Here is a 20,009-nt window from a genome sequence, read left to right on the forward strand (position 1 = left end):
CCTCCTTTCTCACTCGGACCTAGAAGGCCTGCATCGTACACAGCGTTCCCCTCCACCACAGGGAGGTTCTGCGGTGGCTATGCCTGCACCTCCCCTGCAGACACGTACACCCGCCCAGCCTCCCCTACCCACTCCTTCCCCTCCCCAGAACATTCTGAAGCTCCACCCTTCCCCCCACCGTCTGCTGAGGGACCCTGGATAGATTAGCCCCCAGGTCCTTCCAAAGCTGGACCCAGACATTCTTAGCTTCCGCACCTGGGCTGGCACGGAGACTTCTGGAGGAGCTGTTGGAGCCTGGGGCTTTGTGGGGTGTATAGGAGTTCAGTTGTGACATAGGGACAAATGGAAAGAAGGCACTGGAGGCTAAACACCCTCTTGGGCAAAAGCCTTAGATTTTCAGTAAATGCCAGGCGGGCTAGACAATTTGAGTAGCAACGGATAACCTGTGTGAGTGAACAAGTGGGGAAACTGAGGCACGGGAGCATTAGAGATGATTCTGAGGTCCCACGGCAGGGCCAGGGGTCGAGCCCCTTGTCTTCTCATCCAAGGCTCTCTCCAGCTCACATATCACCACCAACACCGCCCAGTGAGCCCCAGGCGCTGGATGTGAGGGCTCTGGGCGAGGCCAGCGCGGAACTACATTTCCCAGGCGGCCGCGGCGGGTGCGCCTGCGCAATGCGCGCGGTGATGGAGCGCTAACCGGGGGCGCGGCGGCGGCGAGGGCTCGGCGGGCCATTGGCTACCGGCCGCGGCAAAGGCAGCTTGGGGACCCAGCGTGCGCGGGGCCCGCGGGCCGGGCCGGGGTGACCTGGGCTGCAGCCATGGAAGAACAGAGGGTAGGACGGGGTGGGGCAGGGCGGGCCCGCAGGGGCGTCGGGGGCGGGGAAGGGGACCAGGTGTTGCCGCAGCGCCCCCACTCCCTCCCCGCCTCCACCCCAGCTGCTCTGCGGCTGAGGCCCCACCCCATTCGCGACCCCGCCCGGATCTAGCCCCCCTACCCCAGTTTGGGACGCAGCCCCCCCACATCTTGGCTTGGGGCCAGGCACGTGCCTTCTACGCCCCCCCACCCTGCCCAGTATCCCAGTCCCATCCCTGACCCCCATCCCCCACGCCCTCCCTCCTGGCCGCGGACCAGGCGTCCCGGCCCCCCGCCCCACCCCTGGAAGACGCCCCGCCAGCTCCGCAGTGCGGACCCCACCGACCCTGCCCCAGGAAAAAGGAGCAGGTTGGAGCCTGGGTCAGAGCAAGAGGCTCCCGAGCGGGATCCTCCCTCCCAGAATCCCCTGCCCTTCCCCAAGACCTCCCTGCCCCCTCCCCGCTTACCTGGCGCCCCCGCATCCCTGGCCCCCAGGTTCCACCTTTGCCCAGGTAATTTCTTTCTCCTTGCTTATCTTTCTCCCCCAGGTAGGCCCCACCCCTGTTCCGAGGCTAGCCCCTATCCCAGGCTATCCCACCTCCCTGGGGTTTTTCCTTCCACCGAGAACCCTTTCCCCAGGTTAGCCCATTTTCCAGCAGACATCCTTCTCCTCTGGGGTTTTCTGTCCTCAGGCTAGCCCCTCACGCCCCACCTTCAGGATGTAGGTATCGGGTTGTAGCCTTTGTGCTCAAGCACGCCTGGTTCGGGGCCAGGGTCTGTCCCTTCCTGAGAGGTTCTCTGTGAGCCTCAGTTTCCTCTCCTGTAATATGGGGTAGCTTAGGGCGCCCAGCTGCTATGGGTGAATTGTATCAGCCCGGAGCTTTACCTCCTGGCTGGTGCCCAAGCTCAATAGCGTGGCAGCCCCCACATCTCCTCTCTGGATCCCTGGAGGGGAGCGCGGGTCAGGGAGCCTGGCCAGGCTGACGGGCTCACCTGCCTGCCGTGTGTGTGTGCGCATGTGTGTGCATGTGTGTGCGCACGCGTGTGCATTTATGTACGTGTGTGCATGTGTGTGCACGTGTGTACATGTGCGTACACGTGTGTGTACCTGTGTGCGCACATGTGTGTGTGCACCTGTGTGTGTCCACACTTCTGGTGGTGCAGGAGGCCCTGAGGAAGATCATCAAAACACTGGCTGTGAAGAATGAAGAAATTCAGAGCTTTATCTACTCCCTGAAACAGATGCTGCTGAACGTGGAGGTGAAGGCGGTGGGGCAGTCCTGGGGAGGTAAGGGGAGGGGAGGAAGCTGGAGGGTGCAGCCTTAGGAACTGGCCCATTGCTGTTGATGCCTGTGGGAGGTCTCAGGTTCCCTCTCTGAACACGGGCTTTGGCCGATTCTGGCTGTTCCGACCCAGGCGAACTCGGCGAAGGTGCAGGAGGACCTCGAAGCAGAGTTCCAGTCCCTCTTCTCCCTCCTGGAGGAGCTGAAAGAAGGCATGCTTATGAAGATAAAACAGGACCGTGCCAGCCGTACCTACGAGCTGCAGGTGAGGGCTGAGGGCATCTTCCTCTCCCCCCGCCCCTCCTACTCAACAGAACGTAGCTGACCTCGGCACCTTCCTCCAAAAACTGGGTGCTCTCGAGTTTCTGATCTCTCCCCTGACCCCTCCATCCACCTGTACACTCTCTCTTTTTTTTTTTTGAGACGGAGGTCTCGCTCTGTCGCCCAGGCTGGAGTGCAGTGGCATGATATCGGCTCACTGCAACCTCCGCCTCCTGGGTTCAAGCAATTCTCCTACCTCAGCCTCCCAAGTAGCTGGGATTACAGGTACCCGCCATCATGCTGGGCTAATTTTCGTATTTTTAGTAGAGATGGGGTTTCACCGTGTGGGCCAAGCTGACCTCAGGTGATCCTCCTGCCTCAGCCTCCCAAAGTGCTGGGATGACAGGCATGAGCCCCCGCGCCTGGCCCATCTGTGCTCTCTCTGAATCCCCTCTCCATCACGGCGTCCCCGAGTCTGGCTCAGATCTTCCCCTCCTGTCTTCACTCAGTGCCTCCGGTTTCTCAGCCCTTCCCACTGGCCCCCCAGATCTGAAGGTATCACCTCCACTCAAACACCACCCATGGCTCCCGTGGGCTGTCACTCAGACTCCAAGCTGGAGTCACACAGGCTGCATCCAGACCTCCTGGGCAACTTCCTGACATCCCAGATTCCTGTCCCAGGGGGAATCTAGAGCCCTGGAGCTCGGATGTGGCCTAGGCATGTGAGTTTTTGGTTTGTTTTGTTTTGAGACAGAGTCTTATTCTGTCACCCAGGCTGGAGTCCAGTGGCGCAATCATGCCTCACTGCAGCGTCCGCCTCCCAGGCTTAAGCGATTCTCCCATCTTAGCCTCCCAAGTAGCTGGGACCACAGGAAGGTGCCACCACGCCCAGCTCATTTTTGTATTTTTTGGTGGAGACTGGTTTTCACCATGTTGCCTAGACTAGTCTTGAACTCATGGGCTCAAGCGATCCTCCTGCCTTGGCCTCCCAAATTGCTGGGATTACAGGCATGAGCCTCTGTGCCTGGCTCATGTGAGTTTTTTTTGTTTTGTTTTGTTTTTGAGATGGAGTCTCTCTCTGTGACCCAGGCTGGATCAGTTGCACAACCTCAGCTCACTGCAACCTCCGCCTCCCGGGTTCAAGTGATTCTCCTGCCTCAGCCTCCCGAGTAGCTGGGATTAGAGGTGCCCACCACCACACCCAGCTACTTTTTTCTATGTTTAGTGGAGACAGGGTTTCACTGTGTTGGCCAGGCTAGTCTTGAACTCCTGACCTCAGGTGATCCTCCCGCCTCAGCCTCCCAAAGTGCTGGGATTACAGGCCTGAGCCACCACACCCGGCCTTACGTGTTTTTAGGGAAGGGATTCCCCAGGGATTCTGTTCTGCTCCCCGAGCCCAGCCCCATTTGGTGGGGCGCTCAAGGCTCCAATCTCCATCTCTCACCTGGAGTTCGAGAAGGGCATGGTACCCTGGATTCTGAATGGGGTGGGGAGCCCTCAGGGGGCCTGAGGCAGTGGGGTGAGTTGTCCCCTCCTTTGGTGCCTGGTATCCACAGAACCAGCTGGCTGCCTGCACGCGGGCCCTGGAGAGCTCCGAGGAGCTTCTGGAGACAGCCAACCAGACTCTGCAGGCCATGGACAGCGAGGACTTTCCTCAGGTGGGTGCCTCTGATGCTGCCAGGTAAAGAACAGTGTGCCCAGTCACGTTTGCATTTCAGGTGAACAAGCACATTTTTAGTGTAAGTATAGCCCACCCATGCGATAGTTGGCAAAAGTACATACTGATACCAAGAAAGTGTCCAGGCCGGGCACAGTGGCTACGCCTGTAATCCCAGCACTTTGGGAGGCTGAGGCAGTGGATCACCTGAGGTCAGGAGTTCAAGACTAGCCTGGCCAACACGGGGAAACCCCATCTCTACTAAAAATACAAACATTAGCTGGATGTGGTGGTGGGCGCCTGTAATCCCAGCTACTTGGGAGGCTGAGGCGGGAGAATCGCTTGAACCTGGGAGGCAGAGGTTGCCGTGAGCTGAGATTGTGTCACTGCATTCCAGACTGGGCAACAGAGGGAGACTTCATCTCAAAAACAAAGAAAAAAAGAAAAGAAAGCATTCAGGCTGGGTGCAGTGGCTCATGCCTGTAATACCAGCAGTTTGGGAGGCCGAGGCAGGAGGATTGCTTGAGGCCAGGAGTTTCAGACCAACATGGGCAACATAGTGAAACCCCATCTCTACAAAAAATAAAATAATTGGCCAGGCACAGGGGCTCATGCCTGTAATCCCAGCACTTTGGGAGGCCAAGGCGGGCGGATCACGAGGTCAGGAGATCAAGACCATCCTAACACAGTGAAACCCCGTCTCTACTAAAAAAAAATACAAATAAATTAGCCGGGCGTGGTGGCGGGCACCTGTAGTTCCAGCTACTCGGGAGGCTGAGGCAGGAGAATGGCGTGAACTCGGGAGGCGGAGCTTGCAGTGAGCCAAGATCGCGCCACCGCACTCCAGCCTGGGCAACAGAGCGAGACTCCGTCGCAAAAAAAAGAGATTGAGACCATCTTGGCTAGGACGGTGAAACCCCGTCTCTACTAAATATACAAAAAGTTAGCCGGGCATGGTGGCGGGCACCTGTAGTCCCAGCTACTCAGGAGGCTGAGGCAGGAGGATGGTGTGAACCCGGGAGGCAGAGCTTGCAGTGAGCAGAGATCGCACCACTGCACTCCAGCCTAGGTGACAGAGCAAGACTCTGTTTCAAAAAATAAAATAAAATAAAATAATTAGCTGGGTGTGGTGGCACACACCTGTGGTCCCAGCTACTCAAGAGGCTGAAGTGGGAGGATTGTTTGAGCTCCAGAGTTCAAGGTTACAATGAGCCGTGATTGTTACACTGCACTCTAGCCTGAGGGACAGAGCCAGACCTTGTCTCAAAAAAAAAGAAAAAAAAAGTATTCATTGTTGATCTGAAATGCAAATGAATAAATACTTTTTTAGTATAAGGGTATATATGTGCACACTAAGAACTGCATTTGTGTGAGTATATCCCAAAGAGTGCATGGGACATAGTCATGATTTATCTGAAATGCCAATTTAACTGGGCATCCTGTAGTTTTATTCAGTGAATTTGCCAGCTGTATGGGCTGGGTGTGGGCAGGAGGTTGGGGTGGGGATGGGAGCCTGTCTTGGCCATCCTCTGTCTTCAGGGCACAGTCCAGAAGTGCAGGGACACTTTGGCAAATACCTTCCTCGAGAGGCCTCAGTCTTCATGTCTGTAGAGTGGCTTTATGATTTGGTAGAAACAAATCTTTGGGCCGGGCGCAGTGGCTCACGCCTGTAATCCCAGCACTTTGGGAGGCTGAGGCGGGCCGATCATGAGGTCAGGAGATCAAGACAAGCCTGGCTAATACAGTGAAACCCTATCTCTGCTAAAAATACAAAAAATTAGCTGGGTGTGGTGGCGGGCGCCTGTAGTCCCAGCTACTCGGGAGGCTGAGGCAGGAGAATGGCGTGAACCCGGGAGGCGGAGCTTGCAGTGAGCCGAGATCGTGCCACTGCACTCCAGCCTGAACGACAGAGCAAGACTCCATCTCAAAAAAAAAAAAACACAAAAAATGAAACAAATCTTTGGGCCAGGCACGGTGGCTCATGCCTGTAATCCCAGCACTCTGGGAGGCTGAGGCAGGCGGATCACCTGAGGTCAGGAGTTTGAGACCAGTGTGGCCAACATGGCAAAACCCCATCTCTCTAAAAATACAAAAAATTGGCCGGGTGTGGTGGTGGGTGCTTGTAATCCCAGCTACTCAGGAGGCTGAGGCAGAATTGCTTGAACCCAGGAGGTGGAGGTTGCAGTGAGCCGAGATCTCTCCACTGCAATCCAGCCTGGGCAACAGAGCAAGACTCCGTCTCAAAAACAAAAAAAGAAATCTTTGAATGTTGTTCTGTTCCTCTCTCTAGGCTGCCAAGCAAATCAAAGATGGGTAAGACACTGGGGTCTGGCCCCCACCCCACTACCCTGCCCCTGGTGTGAAGACAGGGGCCACCTGGTGAGGGTGTCTCATCTCAGAGCCCTGGACGGGAGCCCTGGGGAGGGGCCCCCTCGCGCCACGGATGACCAGGCCTGGTCCCCCACGCAACGCCTGCCACCTCCTTCCTGCAGAGTGACCATGGCCCCTGCCTTCCGGCTATCATTGAAAGCGAAGGTCAGTGACAACATGAGTCACCTCATGGTGGACTTCGCGCAAGAGCGGCAGATGCTACAGGCACTCAAGTTCCTGCCTGGTGAGAGGGGCACGCACTAGAGGGCCAGGACTTCCGGGGAATGACCTGGGAGGCTAGGAGGCCCTGAAACAGGACCTGGAGTATGGTGGACGACCCGGTGTCTGAATTCCGCCTGGGGGAGGTGGAGCTCTGAGAATTCCACGCCCTGTGGGGGGTGGAGTTCTCATGGAGCCCCGCCCCTGGGTGGAGCCATGGGAAGACCCCACCCACTGTGTAGTGACATCCTGGGAAAACTCTGTACCCAGGGGTGGAACTGTGAGAATACCATGTCCTGTGGGGTTGGTTGAGTCCTCATGAGGCCCCGCCCTGGGGTGGAGCCATGAGAAGGTCAAACTCACCAGGTGGGAAAATCCTGTCCCCAGGGGTGGAGCCCTGAGAATAGCACGTCCTGTGGGGGTGGGGTATTCATCAAGTCCCGCCCATGGGTGGAGCCATCAGAAAGCCCCACCCACCAGGGGGTGAGGTCCTGGGAAAACTCTGTCCACAGGGGTGGAGCCCTGAGAATACCATGTCGTTGGGGGAGTGGAGTCCTCCCGAGACCTCCTCCCTGGATAGAGCCACGAGAAGGGCCTGCCCACCACATGGTAGCTCCTGGGAAAACCCTGTTTCCAGGGGTGGAGCCCTGAGAAGGCCACGTCCCCGAGGAGAAATGGACTGAGAACCCAGCCTGTCTATGATGCAGCCCCAAAGAAAGCCGCATCCCTCATTGGCAGAGATTTTGGAATAATTCTGCCTGTAAATGATGGAATCCCAAGAAAGCTCAGCCCTCCCCCAACCCACTGATGGAACCTTAGCGTCTCCATGGCCGGGCGCGGTGACTCACGCCTGGAATCCCAGCACTTTGGGAGGCCGAGGCGGGTGGATCACTTGAGGTCAGGAGTTCAAGACCAGCCTGGCCAACATGGAGAAACCCTGTCTCTACTAAAAATATAAAAAATTAGCCGGGCCATGGTGGCTCACGACTGTAATCCCAGCTACTCAGGAGGCTGAGGCAGGAGAATCGCTTGAACCAGGGAGTCGGAGGTTGCAGTGAGCCAAGATCGTGCCACTGCACTCCAGCCTGGGTGACAAGAGCAAGACTCTGTCTCTAAAAAAAAAAAAGTCTCCACCCTGCCAAACATGGAACCCCTTTGTGGCCATGCCCCCAAAATTGTCCAACATGTGGTTGGGCAGCCCTGCAGCAAGCCCCCTGCCCCCTGAACCAGGCACAGAATCCCGACCCCCTCTCCTTTCCGTCTTGGTCAGTGCCCAGCGCACCCGTGATCGACCTGGCTGAGTCCCTGGTGGCAGATAACTGTGTGACCCTGGTGTGGCGCATGCCGGATGAGGACAGCAAGATTGACCACTACGTGCTGGAGTACCGGCGGACCAACTTCGAGGGCCCGCCCCGCCTCAAGGAGGACCAGCCCTGGATGGTCATCGAGGGCATCCGGCAGACAGAGTACACCCTGACAGGTAAGGGCAGTGTGTGCCAGCTCCGCCCAGCTGTGAACAGCCACCTCTTCCAGCCTCCCGTCTCGCCATCAGTCACTGGGGGCCTTGGGGACGATCCCCAAAGCTCATGGGGTCTGGAAGCAGCCTGGGGAGGTGGATCAGAAATATGAGACAGTGGCCAGGCGCGGTGGCTCATGCCTGTAATCCCAGCACTTTGGGAGGCTGAAGCGGGTGGATCGCCTGAGGTCAGGAGTTCAAGACCAGCGTGGCCAACATGGTGAAACCCTATCTCTACTAAAAATACAAAAAAATTAGCCGGGCATGGTATCGGGCACCTGTAATCCCAGCTACTCAGGAGGCTAAGGCGGGAGAATTGCTTGAACCCGGAAGGTGGAGATGGCACTGAGCCGAGATCGCGCTATTGCACTCCAGCCTGGGCAACAAAAGCGAAACTCATCTCAAAAAAACAAAAAATAATAATAATGAATATAGGCCGGGCGCGGTAGCTCACGCCTGTAATCCCAGCACTTTGGGAGGCCGAGGCGGGCCGATCACAAGGTCAGGAGATCGAGACCATCCTGGCTAACACGGTGAAATACTGTATCTACTAAAAAAATACAAAAAATTAGCCGGGCGTGGCGGTGTGCACCTGTAGTCCCAGCTGCTCAGGAGGCTGAGGCAGGAGAATGGCGTGAACTCGGGAGGCGGAGCTTGCAGTGAGCCTAGATTGCGCCACTGCACTCCAGCCTGGGCGACAGAGCAAGACTCCGTCTCAAAAAATAAATAAATAAATAAATAAATAAATAAATAATAATAATGAATATATTTTTCCAGACATGGGATCCTGCCATTTCCCTAGGCTGGTCTCCAACCCCTGGCCTCAAGCAGTCCTGCCTCAGCCTCCCAAATAGCTGTGTACTGTCCTCGGAGCAGGGAACAAAGCAGACAATAATCTTTTCCCTCCTAGAGCTGGCGTTCTGGATTCACCCTCCAAGTATTTGGGGTCCTCCTTGGCAGTTACAAGAAATTGAAAGCTGGCCAGGCATGGTGGCTCAAGCCTGTGATACAGCACTTTGGGAGGCTGAGGCAAGAGGATTGCTTGAGGCCAGGAGCTGGAGACCAGCTTGGGTAACAAAGCAAGAGCCCATCTATAAAAAAAAAAAAAATTTAAAGTTACCTGAGCATGGTGGTCCCCGCTACCAAGGGAGGCTAAGGTGGGAGGATTGTTTGAGCCCAAGAATTGGAGGCTGCAGTGAGCCATGACTGCACCACCGCACTCCAGCCTGAGCAACAGAGCGAGACCCTGTCTCTACTAAACAAAGAGAGAAAAATAAAGAAAAAAAAAAACAAAACCCAAGGAATCCACCCAGCTGGTGGAGGTAGGGTCTGAAGGGGGAAAGCCTCCTGGGCCGGGCGTGGTGGCTCACACCTGTACTCCCAGCACTTTGGGAGGCTTAGGCGGGCGGATCTTGAAGTCACGAGATTGAGACCAGCCTGACCAACATGGTGAAACCCTGTCTCTACTAAAAATACAAAAATTAGCTGGGTGTGGTGGCGGGCGCCTGTAATCCCAGCTACTCGGGAGGCTGAGGCAGGAGAATTGCTTGAACCCAGGAAGCAGAAGTTGCAGTGAGCTGAGATTGCGCCACTGAGCTCCAGCCTGGTTACAGAGCGAGACTCCGTCTCAAAAAAAAAAAAAACAAAAAGCCATCCTGGCCAGGCGTGGTGGCTCACGCTGTAATCCCAGCACTTTGGGAGGCTGAGGTGGGTGGATCACTTGAGGTCAGGAGTTCAAGACCAGCCTGGCCAGCATGGTAAAACCCTGTCTCTACTAAAAATGCAAAAAAATTAGTGGGGCATGGTGGCGGATGCCTGTAGTCCCAGCTACTTGGGAGGCTGAGGAGTGAGAATCACTTCAGCCTGGGAGGCGGAGGCTGCAGTGAGCAGAGATCGCGCCACTGCACTCCAGCTTGGGCAACAGAGGGAGACTCCGTCTCAAAAAAAAAAAAGAAAAAAAAAGCCATCCTGATCCAGGGGAATCCCGGAGGGGCGGGGAGAGGCTGGCTGACGGGTTTAACTATCACCATTCACTAGCTGCTTTTGGGCTGTAATCAGCCAGCTAGTTATCTGTAATTAGCATACATGGTTAATCATGAGCACGCTAACTGCAGGGGGAAAAGTCATCAGCCTCAGGAGCTGCAAACAGCCATTGGCTTATCCTTTGCTTGAGAATCAAAATAAACACACCCCTTTTATTTGTTGTAAATAGGATTCCTCAAATCCCTCCTCCAAGTGCCCCCGCCTTTTGGTTTTGTTTTCTTGTAACTTTGTATTTTGAAATAATTATAGATCCACAGGAAGTTGCCAAAACAACTAAAACAAAAAGTACAGTGAGGACCCATGTAGTCAGCATAAAACCCGGGAAATGGACACGGGTGCAGTGGACTCACATTCTACCTTTTTTTTTTTTTTTTGAGATGGAGTCTCGCTTTGTCGCCCAGGCTGGAGTGCAGTGGCCTGATCTCGGCTCACCGCAACCTCCGCCTCCTGGGTTCAAGCAATTCTCCTGTCTCAGCCTCCCTAGTAACTGGGATTACAGGCGCCCACCACCATGCCTGGCTAATTTTTGTATTTTTAGTAGAGATGGGGTTTCTCCATGTTGACCAGGCTGGTCTCTAACTCCTGACCTCAGGTGATCCGCCTGCCTCGGCCTCCCAGTGCTGGGATGACAGGCGTGAGCCACCACGCCCCGCCACATTTTACCAGTTTTACACGCGCTCATTCGGGTGTTCCACACAGTTTTCTCCCATGTGTAAATTCATGTCACCACCAACACCACGGTCAAAGTATAGATCTCTTCTGTCACTACGAGGCTTCCAGGTGCTACGCTTTATAACCATGGCTTCCTGCCTTTGACAGACTTCCTAGTGAGTGAATTCCTCAGGGCAGAAAGTTGGATTCATGGAAAGCTGTGCAGGAGTAAGGATACCGATGAAAGCAGCTGCCTATGTGGTCGTTTGCAATCCACCTACTGTTTTGTTGATTGCTTGGAAAGATGGGAGGGTTTGGGTTATTTTCTTCTTTCTTTCCCTTTTTTCTTTTTTCTTTTTTTTGAGACAGAATCTCGCTCTGTCGCCCAAGCTGGAGTACAGTGGCTTGATCTCGGCTCTCTGCAACCTCTGCCTCCCAGGTTCAAGCGATTCTCCTGCCTCAACCTCCCAAGTAGCTTGGACTACAGGCACTATAGGCATGCGCCCCAACGCCTGGTTAATTTTTTTTTTTTTTTTTTTTTTTTTGAGACAGAGTCTCACTCTGTTGCCCAGGCTGGAGTGCAGTGGTGCTATCTCGGCTCACTGCAAGCTCCGCCTCCCGGGTTCACGCCATTCTCCTGCCTCAGCCTCCCAAGTAGCTGGGACTACAGGCGCCTGCCACCACGCCTGGCTAATTTTTTGTATTTTTAGTAGAGACGGGTTTTCACCGTGTTAGCCAGGATGGTCTTGATCTCCTGACCTTGTGATCCGCCTCCGTCGGCCTCCCAAAGTGCTGGGATTACAGGCGTGAGCCACCGTGCCTGGCCTTTTTTTTTTTTTTTTTTTTTGAGTTGCAGTCTCGCTCTGTCACCCAGGCTGGAGTGCAATGATGCGATCTTTGGCTCACTGCAACTTCTGCCTCCTGGGTTCAAGCAATTCTCCTGCCCCAGCCTCCCCAGTAGCTGGGATTACAGGCCCCCGCCACCACACCTGGCTAATTTTTGTGTTTTTAGTAGAGACGGGGTTTCACCTTATTGGCGAGGCTGGTCTCTTGGCCAGGCTGGTCTCGAACTCCTGACCTCAGGTGATCTGCCTGCCTCAGCCTCCCAAAGTGCTGGGATTATAGGTGTGAGCCACCGCGCCTAGCCAGTTTTTTGTATTTTTTAGTAGAGACAGAGTTTCACCATGCTGGCCAGGCTGGTCTCAAACTCCTGACCTTATGGGTTCCTCCTGCCTCCACCTCCCAGATGTGCTGGGATTACAGGCGTGAGCCACCGCACTTGGCCTTTTTTTTTTGAAAGACAGGTTCTTGCTATGTAGCACAGGCTGGAGTGCAGTGATGCAATCATAGCTCACTGCAGCTTCAACCTCTTGGGCTCACATGCTCCTCCTCCCTCAGCCTCCTGAGTAACTGGGACTACAGGTGTGCACCACCACACCCAGCTAATTTTTTTGGAGGGGGTCAGAGTTTCGCTCTGTCACCCAGGCTAGAGTGCAGTGGTGCGATCTTGGCTCACTGCAACCTCTGCCTCCCGGGTTCAAGTGATTCTCCTTCCGCAGCCTCCTGAGTAGCTGGGATTACAGGCGCCACCCCCCGCCCCCACCAATTTTTATATTTTTAGTAGAGATGCGGTTTCATCATGTTGGCCAGGCTGGTCTTGAACGCCTGACCTCAAGTGATCTGCCCACTTCGGCCTCCCAAAGTGCTGACATTACAGGCGTAAGCCACCGCACCCAGACTAATTTTTTATTTTTTATTATTTATTTATTTGAGACAGAATCTCAAATAAATGTGTCGCCCAGGCTGGAGTGCAGTCGTGCAGTACAAATCTCTGAAACAATCACTGTGACAGGGTCTTAAAGCATCCTGATTGGTCTACGTGGGTTGGAGGTGGAGTCAAGTAATTCATAGCCCCTCAGGGAGAGGAGGGCAAGGAATGGTCTCAGGGGTAAGATGTTTGTTTATTTTTTATTTTTTATTTTTTTTGAGATGGAGTTTCGTTCTTGTTGCCCAGGCTGGAGTGCAATGGCATGATCATGGCTCACTGCAACCTCCACCTCCCGGGTTCAGGTGATTCTCCTGCCTCAGCCTCCTGAGTAGCTGGGATTACAGGCACACACCACCACGCCCGGCTAATTTTTTGCATTTTTAGTAGAGACGGGGGTTTCACCATATTGGTCAGGCTGGTCTCGAACTCCCAACCTCAGTTGATCCATGCGCCTCGGCCTTCCAAAGTGCTGGGATTACAGGCGTGAGCCAGTGCGCCCGGCTGGATAAGATGTTTATAAGGTGGTTCTTAGAATGGCGTTGGGAATCACTGTGGGACATGACAGCTTTAACCCATGACTCAGAGTCTCAGGGAATAATACACAGTGTTGAAATGCCTCTCTTGCCTACCAGGTCTCAAGTTTGACATGAAATACATGAACTTCCGTGTGAAGGCCTGTAACAAGGCAGTTGCAGGAGAGTTCTCTGAGCCGGTGACTCTGGAGACACCAGGTGACTGGATTCCACCCTTGTCCTACCCCTAACTCCATGGCCCCTTCCTCCCACAGCCCCCAGAGACCATGAGAATCCTCGAAGCAGGGTTGCCCTGGCTGCCAGGAAGCTCAAAGCTCCGTCCACAGTTGGCTTCCTTAGCCTGAGTGTCTGCTATAACCCTGTTTTTGTCCTTTGCTTCTGAGGTTTACCCAGTATATCTCGATGGTTTTTGTATACAGCCACACACACTCTCTCTTTGCCAAAAAATAGATAAGTCCTCTATAGAGCTGGGGATGAGATTTGAGTAGTGAAGACTGATTCCAGAGCCTTTCACAGTGACACCTTCACATGCCCTGCTAGGAAGTCCCTCTGAAATCTAGCCTAACTCCCTTGTGCTGTAGCCCAGCCCCTTTTTTGGGATTAGTCCTCCATGGAAGCACAGGGTAGTGCAATTGGCTTGAAAATGCCTCCAGAGGCTGGGCACAGTGGCTCACGCCTGTGATCCCAACACTCTGGGAGGCTGAGGCGGGCGGATCACGAGGTCAGGAGTTCGAAACCAGCCTGGCCAATATGGTGAAACCCCGTCTCTACTGAAAATACAAAAATTAGCTGGGAGTGGTAGCGTGTGCCTGTAGTCCCAGCTACTTGGGAGGCTGAGGCAGGAGAATCGCTTGAACCCAGGAGGCGGAGGTTGCAATGAGCCGAGATTGTGCCACAGCACTCCAGCCTGGGCGACAGAGCGAGACTCCATCTCAAAACAAAAAGAAAAGAAAATTCCTCCAGACGTGGGAGGGAGACTTTTAGGCAACAACCCTTGGCCTTCGCGCTTCTGGCTCCATGTTCTGTCCCCTCTACCCTTTGCCATCTTGTCTCTCCTGTTGTCCTTCTGCTTGTCCATCTCTATATCTGTCTCTCTCCGAGGCTTCGTCAGTCTCTTATCTCTGTCTTGGACTCTTATCTCCTTGGCTCTTTGATTCTCTGTCCCTGTCTTGGTCTGTCTTGGTCACTCTCTGTCTCTCTGTCTCTCTCTGTGTCTCTCCGGGTTTCCCCATCTCTGTGACTCCCACGTCTGCCCGGCCCCAGCGTTCATGTTCCGCCTGGATGCGTCCACATCCCACCAGAACCTGCGGGTGGATGATCTCTCCGTGGAGTGGGACGCTATGGGCGGGAAGGTGCAGGATATCAAGGCTCGCGAGAAAGATGGCAAGGGGCGGACGGCGTCTCCCATCAACTCCCCAGCCAGGTAGCCTGCCCCCTCCCCTCCCTAAGTCTCTGGTGGAGGAGATCAGTCTGGACATGGACACAGAGCCCAGTGTGGTCAGAGTTGGGGTGGAGAGGGGACCTGGGGCTGGTGGAACCCAGAGAGGGAATGAAGGGAGAGGAGGTTTTGAGTGGAGTTTTGATGGTTAAATAGGAGTTTCCCAGATGACGGAGGGCACAGGCATGTTCTGACATAAACATGAGGTGCTCGATATATAGATAGAGCCAAATACTGCCAGAGATTGACCCAACATCCACGGTGGCTGGGGTGGACTAGGGTAGCCTTACCGTGGGAGAGAGAAGTGTTGAACTGAGCCTCCTGAGCCTGCCCACTCCCTGCCCACCACAGAGGTACTCCATCTCCCAAGAGGATGCCCTCAGGTCGTGGGGGACGGGACCGCTTCACCGCTGAGTCCTACACAGTTCTGGGTAAGGAAGGGGAGAAGAAAGGGGAGAGGGGAGTTTTGGGCAGGGGCCTAATGGTGGGGGTTGAGGGAGAACCTTTGCCTTTGGCTGCGGAAACAGGCAGCCATCAGCAAAGCTGCTCCCGGAATAACAGGTTGTTCTGGCACTGCCCAAATGGAAATATTTCGGGATAAGGGATTGCTGGGGAAAGCCAGAATTTATGGAGTGAAGGAAAGAGACTCTGGACCAGACAGTGCCTGGGCAGGAGCTTGGGGGCAATTTTCTGGACTCCATGGAGTATCTGGCACTTGGGGAGTAGCTGGGATTTAGGGAGTAGCTGGGATTTGAGGAGTAGCTGGAAAGAATCATTGCCTATAGAGCAACTGGGTTTGTGGGGGAGCTGAAGCCAGGCAGGAATTTTGGGGGATCACCTGAGGGTATGTGGAGGAGCCAGAGAAAACAGTCTGAAGAGAAGTCAATAGTAGCATAAGAATGATTGGATCCTGTGAAGAAGAAGCTGGAGTTGGTGGAGGATGGGCAAGGGAGGAACTGGACTTTAGGGGAATTGCTACTGTTCAGAATAGAGCTGGAGAAAGAGGCTAAAAGTATGAGGAAGTCATTGTGGTCAGGAATATCTAGAGAGAAGGAAGTTAGGGAGTAGCTGGGGTCATGAGGATAAGCTAGGGCCTAAGGGGAAGTTATGGTTCTATGGGGATCTAAATTTTCCTGGGTGCACCTGGGATTGGTGAGAGTTTTAGGGAGAAGCAGAAGATATAGGGAGTTGTCATTGGAGTTGCTGAGATTTGAGAGAGAGAGAGAGATCATCCTTGGGAAAGGACCTGGATAATTTGTGGTGTGGGGAGTAGCTGAGATCAGGGAGGAGCAGACCTGGAGAAGACGTGTATAGAGGTTCATCTTGTATCTGGAGAGGAACTGAGATATAACAAAGATCAGTTGTGATCTGGGAGGGGCGAGAGTATGAGGAGAAGCTGAAGCTCATGGAATAGCTGCATTGGGTGAAGGAGTAGCTGAGATGGCAAGAACCTGGATCTGGGGCCTGGGGAGGATCTCAACTCTGGAGAGAATCTGGATTGTGTACAGAGCTGAAGCCAAGGGGTATCCCAATTCAGAGGGTTCCTGGAGAGTGTGATGGAGGTTTGAGGAACACCTGGATTCCAGGAGGAGCTGAGGCCTGGAGAGTATCTGGCTTGGGGAATGCCTTGGGGGAACTTCTGGCCTCAGCAGTAGCTGAGGCCTGGGAGAACCTGCCTTCCACGTGGAGTTGGGGTCTGGATAGAATCTGGATTCAGAGAGCAAGAGGAGGGAGTCTTGAGTCCTGGGGAGTATCTGGACTCTGTCACAGCAAGGAGCTAGAGGGAGCTTCTAGACTCTGCCAGAGCTGAGAACTAGGGGGAGCATCTGGACCCTGCCAGAGCTGGGAACTAGGGGGAGCATCTGGACTCGAGGAGGACTTGAGGCCTGTGGGAACACTATGAGTCTTCCAGGAACAAGGGTTTGAGGATGATCTAGTTTCTGGGAAGAACTGAGGGGTATTTGGACATGGGGAGGAACTGAAAGAAGTTTCTATGGCTTGGAGGAGTCTGGAAGGAGTAGCTTGGGCTTGTAGAGAATCTGAAAGGAGTAACTGAGGCTTGGGGAGTATCTGGGCTTAATAAATTTCTGGAGGAAGTTGATAAAGCTTAGGAGTATCTGGGGGGAATACCCGGGAATCAAGGAATATCTGGAGGGAATAGCTGGGACTTGAGGAGCATCTGGAGGGAATAGCTGCAGCCTGAGGAGTATCTGGGGGGAAAAGCTGGGACTGAGGAGTATCTGGGGGAAACAGCTGGGACTGAGGAGTATCTGGAGGGGAATCGCTGGGACTGAGGAGTATCTGGGGGAAATAGCTGGGACTGAGGAGTGTCTGGAGGGGAATAGCTGGGACTGAGGAGTATCCGGGGAAATAGCTGGGACTGAGGAGTATCTGGGGGGAATAGCTGAGACTGAGGAGTATCTGGAGGGGAATCGCTGGGACTGAGGAGTATCTGGGGGAAATAGTTGGGACTGAGGAGTATCTGGAGGGGAATAGCTGGGACTGAGGAGTATCTGGAGGGGAATCGCTGGGACTGGGGAGTATCTGGAGGGAAATAGCTGAGACTGAGGAGTATCTGGGGAAATAGCTGGGACTGAGGAGTACCTGGAGGGGAATAGCTGGGACTGAGGAGTATCTGGGGGGAATAGCTGGGACCTGAGGAGCATCTGGAGGGAATAACTGCAGCCTGAGGAGTATCTGGGGGGAATAGCTGGGACTGAGGAGTATCTGGGGGAAACAGCTGGGACTGAGGAGTATCTGGAGGGGAATAGCTGGGACTGAGGAGTATCTGTGGAAATAGCTGGGACTGAGGAGTATCTGGAGGGGAATAGCTGGGACTGAGGAGTATCTGGGGAAATAGCTGGGACTGAGGAGTATCTGGAGGGGAATAGCTGGGACTGAGGAGTATCTGTGGAAATAGCTGGGACTGAGGAGTATCTGGAGGGGAATAGCTGGGACTGAGGAGTATCTGGGGAAATAGCTGGGACTGAGGAGTATCTGGGGGGAATAGCTGGGACTGAGAAGTATCTGGGGGAAATAGCTGGATCCCCGAGGAGTATCTGGGAGGAATGGCTCAAGCCAGAGAAGTATCTGGAGGGACTAGCAGAGACTGAGGCATATCTGAAGGGAATTACTGGGGCCCAAGGAGTATCTGGAGGGAATAGCTGGGACCCAAGTATTTGGAGGGAATAACTGGAGTCCAAGGAGTATCTGGGGGGAAATAGCTGGGGCCCAAGGAGTATCTGAGGGGAATAGCTGGGACCCTGAGGAGTATCTGGGAGGAATAACTTGGATCCCGAGGAGTATCTGGGGGAAATAGCTGGGTCCCCAAGGAGTATCTGGGAGAAATAGCTGGGTCCTCAAGGATTATCTGGGAAGAATAGCTGGGATCCTGAGGAATATCTGGGGGGAATAGCTGGGTCCCCAAGAAGTATCTGGCGGGGGGATAGCTGGGATCCCGAGGAGTATCTGGGAGGAATAACTTGGACCCCAAGGAGTATCTGGGAGAATTACCTGGGGCCCAAGGAGTATCTGAGAGGAACAGCTGGGTCCTCAAGGATTATCGGGGGGAATAGCTGGGATCCTGAGGAATATCTGGGGGGAATAGCTGGGTCCCCAAGAAGTATCTGGAGGGGATAGCTGGGATCCCGAGGAGTATCTGGGAGGGATAACTTGGACCTCAAGGAGTATCTGGGAGAATTAGCTGGGGCCCAAGGAGTATCTGAGAGGAACAGCTGGGTCCTCAATGATTATCTGGGGGGAATAGCTGGGATCCTGAGGAGTATCTGGGGGGGCGGATAGCTGGGTCCCCAAGAAGTATCTGGAGGGGATAGCTGGGATCCCGAGGAGTATCTGGGAGGAATAGCTGGAGCCCAAGGAGTATCTGGAGGGAATAGCAGGAACCAAGGAGTATCTGGAGGGAATAGCAGGAACCGAGGAGTATCTGGAGGGAATAGCAGGAACCGAGGAGTATCTGGAGGATATAGCAGGAACCGAGGAGTATCTGGAGGGAATAGCTGGGTCCGAAGGAGTATCTGGAGGGAATAGCTGGGGCCCAAGGAGTATCTGGAGGGAATAGCTGTGGCCCAAGGTGTATCTGGAGGGAATAGCTGGGGCCCAAGGAGTATCTGGAGGGAATAGCTGGGGCCCAAGGAGTATCTGGGGGGAATAGCTGCGGCCCAAGGAGTATCTGGAGGGAATAGCTGGGGCCCAAGGAGTATCTGGAGGGAATAGCTAGGAACTTGAGGCGTATCTGAAGGGAATAGCTGGGGTTCAAGGGGTACCTGAGGGGAATAGCTGGGAACCTGAGGAGTATCTGGGGGGTACAGCTAGGAACCTGGGGAGTGTCTCTGCAGGGAGCAGCTGTGGTGTAAGGAGCACCTTGGGGGCTGGCCCTTTGTGGAAGGGCATCTGTGGCCCAGTTCTATCCAGTTCCCCTGCCCACCCCTCCTGCCCTGCGCCACAGGGGACACGCTGATCGACGGCGGGGAGCATTACTGGGAGGTGCGCTACGAGCCGGACAGCAAGGCGTTCGGCGTGGGCGTGGCCTACCGCAGCCTGGGCCGCTTCGAGCAACTGGGCAAGACGGCCGCCTCCTGGTGCCTGCACGTCAACAATTGGCTGCAGGTCAGCTTCACGGCCAAGCACGCCAACAAGGTCAAGGTGCTGGACGCCCCCGTGCCCGACTGCCTGGGTGTGCACTGTGACTTCCACCAAGGTGACCCCAAGCCCCAGCTGCCGTCTCTGGCTGCCCCTGCCTGAGTCCCCTCCGTCTGCCCCCATCCCACTTCTGACCGGTCCCACTGTCACTCTGCCCCCCGACCCCAGGCCTCCTGTCCTTCTACAATGCCCGCACCAAACAAGTGCTGCACACTTTCAAGACCAGGTTCACACAGCCGCTGCTGCCTGCTTTCACGGTGAGCTGCCCTCCGCGGCCCAGGGGGAGGAGAGGGTGGTGCTGGGCGCTGGGGTTTGAAGCTGAGCCCCTCCCCCCTCCCCCCGCTGTCCCTCAGGTATGGTGTGGCAGCTTCCAGGTGACGACAGGCCTGCAGGTCCCCAGTGCTGTGCGCTGCCTGCAAAAGCGAGGCAGTGCTACCAGCAGCTCCAACACCAGCCTCACCTAGGCCCCCAGGCACCCACCCAGCTGGGGTGTTTTTGGGGGAGTCGCCGCCAAGCCCAGGCTGCTGGAGCCAGGCACCCTCCTCTGTCACTTGCTGCTTGGAGCCTTAACTCCAGATGGGGGGGTCACCAAGAGGGAGTGGGCACCCTGGCGGGCCCTCTCCCCACCTCACCTCTTAATAAAGGTCAGACACTGGCCAGGCGAGGCCGCGGTGCTGGTTCTTTGGGCCTGGGTGTGGCACCGGGACCTCATCCTTCCCAGCTGTAAAATGGGCTTTTCTCACAGAATATGGTGG

At 54.9% G+C, this 20,009-nt stretch overlaps 1 protein-coding gene across 2 annotated transcripts, besides 1 other annotated feature; it reads left to right on the top strand.

Annotated features, from left to right (window-relative positions):
* Nucleotides 627-796: a silencer, noted in NCBI's record as "silent region_9884". NCBI's record gives its function as "represses an Ori minimal core promoter by ATAC-STARR-seq in GM12878 lymphoblastoid cells {active_cell/tissue: GM12878}" and the evidence as "EXISTENCE:reporter gene assay evidence [ECO:0000049][PMID:35858748]".
* On the top strand, nt 673-19,911 carry FSD1 (fibronectin type III and SPRY domain containing 1). 2 transcript variants are annotated; one of them, NM_024333.3, is made up of 13 exons: nt 673-836; nt 2,021-2,116; nt 2,273-2,404; nt 3,957-4,058; nt 6,348-6,370; nt 6,550-6,671; nt 7,917-8,126; nt 13,257-13,355; nt 14,421-14,580; nt 14,947-15,026; nt 19,061-19,312; nt 19,423-19,511; nt 19,608-19,911. In NM_024333.3, the coding sequence occupies exons 1-13, from the start codon at nt 822-824 to the stop codon at nt 19,716-19,718; spliced, it is 1,491 nt and encodes a 496-aa protein (NP_077309.1). In that variant the 5' UTR covers nt 673-821; the 3' UTR covers nt 19,719-19,911. The 2 variants fall into 2 exon arrangements, with proteins under 2 accessions (NP_077309.1, NP_001317358.1); NM_001330429.2 differs by having other exon boundaries at nt 19,061-19,221.
* Nucleotides 19,912-20,009: the final 98 nt, after the last annotated feature.

This window comes from Homo sapiens, chromosome 19 (assembly GCF_000001405.40).
Source record: "Homo sapiens chromosome 19, GRCh38.p14 Primary Assembly".
Classification (NCBI taxonomy): Eukaryota; Metazoa; Chordata; class Mammalia; order Primates; family Hominidae; genus Homo; species Homo sapiens.

Excerpts from the sequence above, each read along its gene's own strand:
- FSD1 (NM_024333.3), top strand. Across the intron at positions 8,127-13,256 it reads GACAGAGTACACCCTGACAG|GTCTCAAGTTTGACATGAAA; the intron begins GTAAGGGCAGTG and ends CTTGCCTACCAG. Across the intron at positions 19,512-19,607 it reads CGCTGCTGCCTGCTTTCACG|GTATGGTGTGGCAGCTTCCA; the intron begins GTGAGCTGCCCT and ends GCTGTCCCTCAG.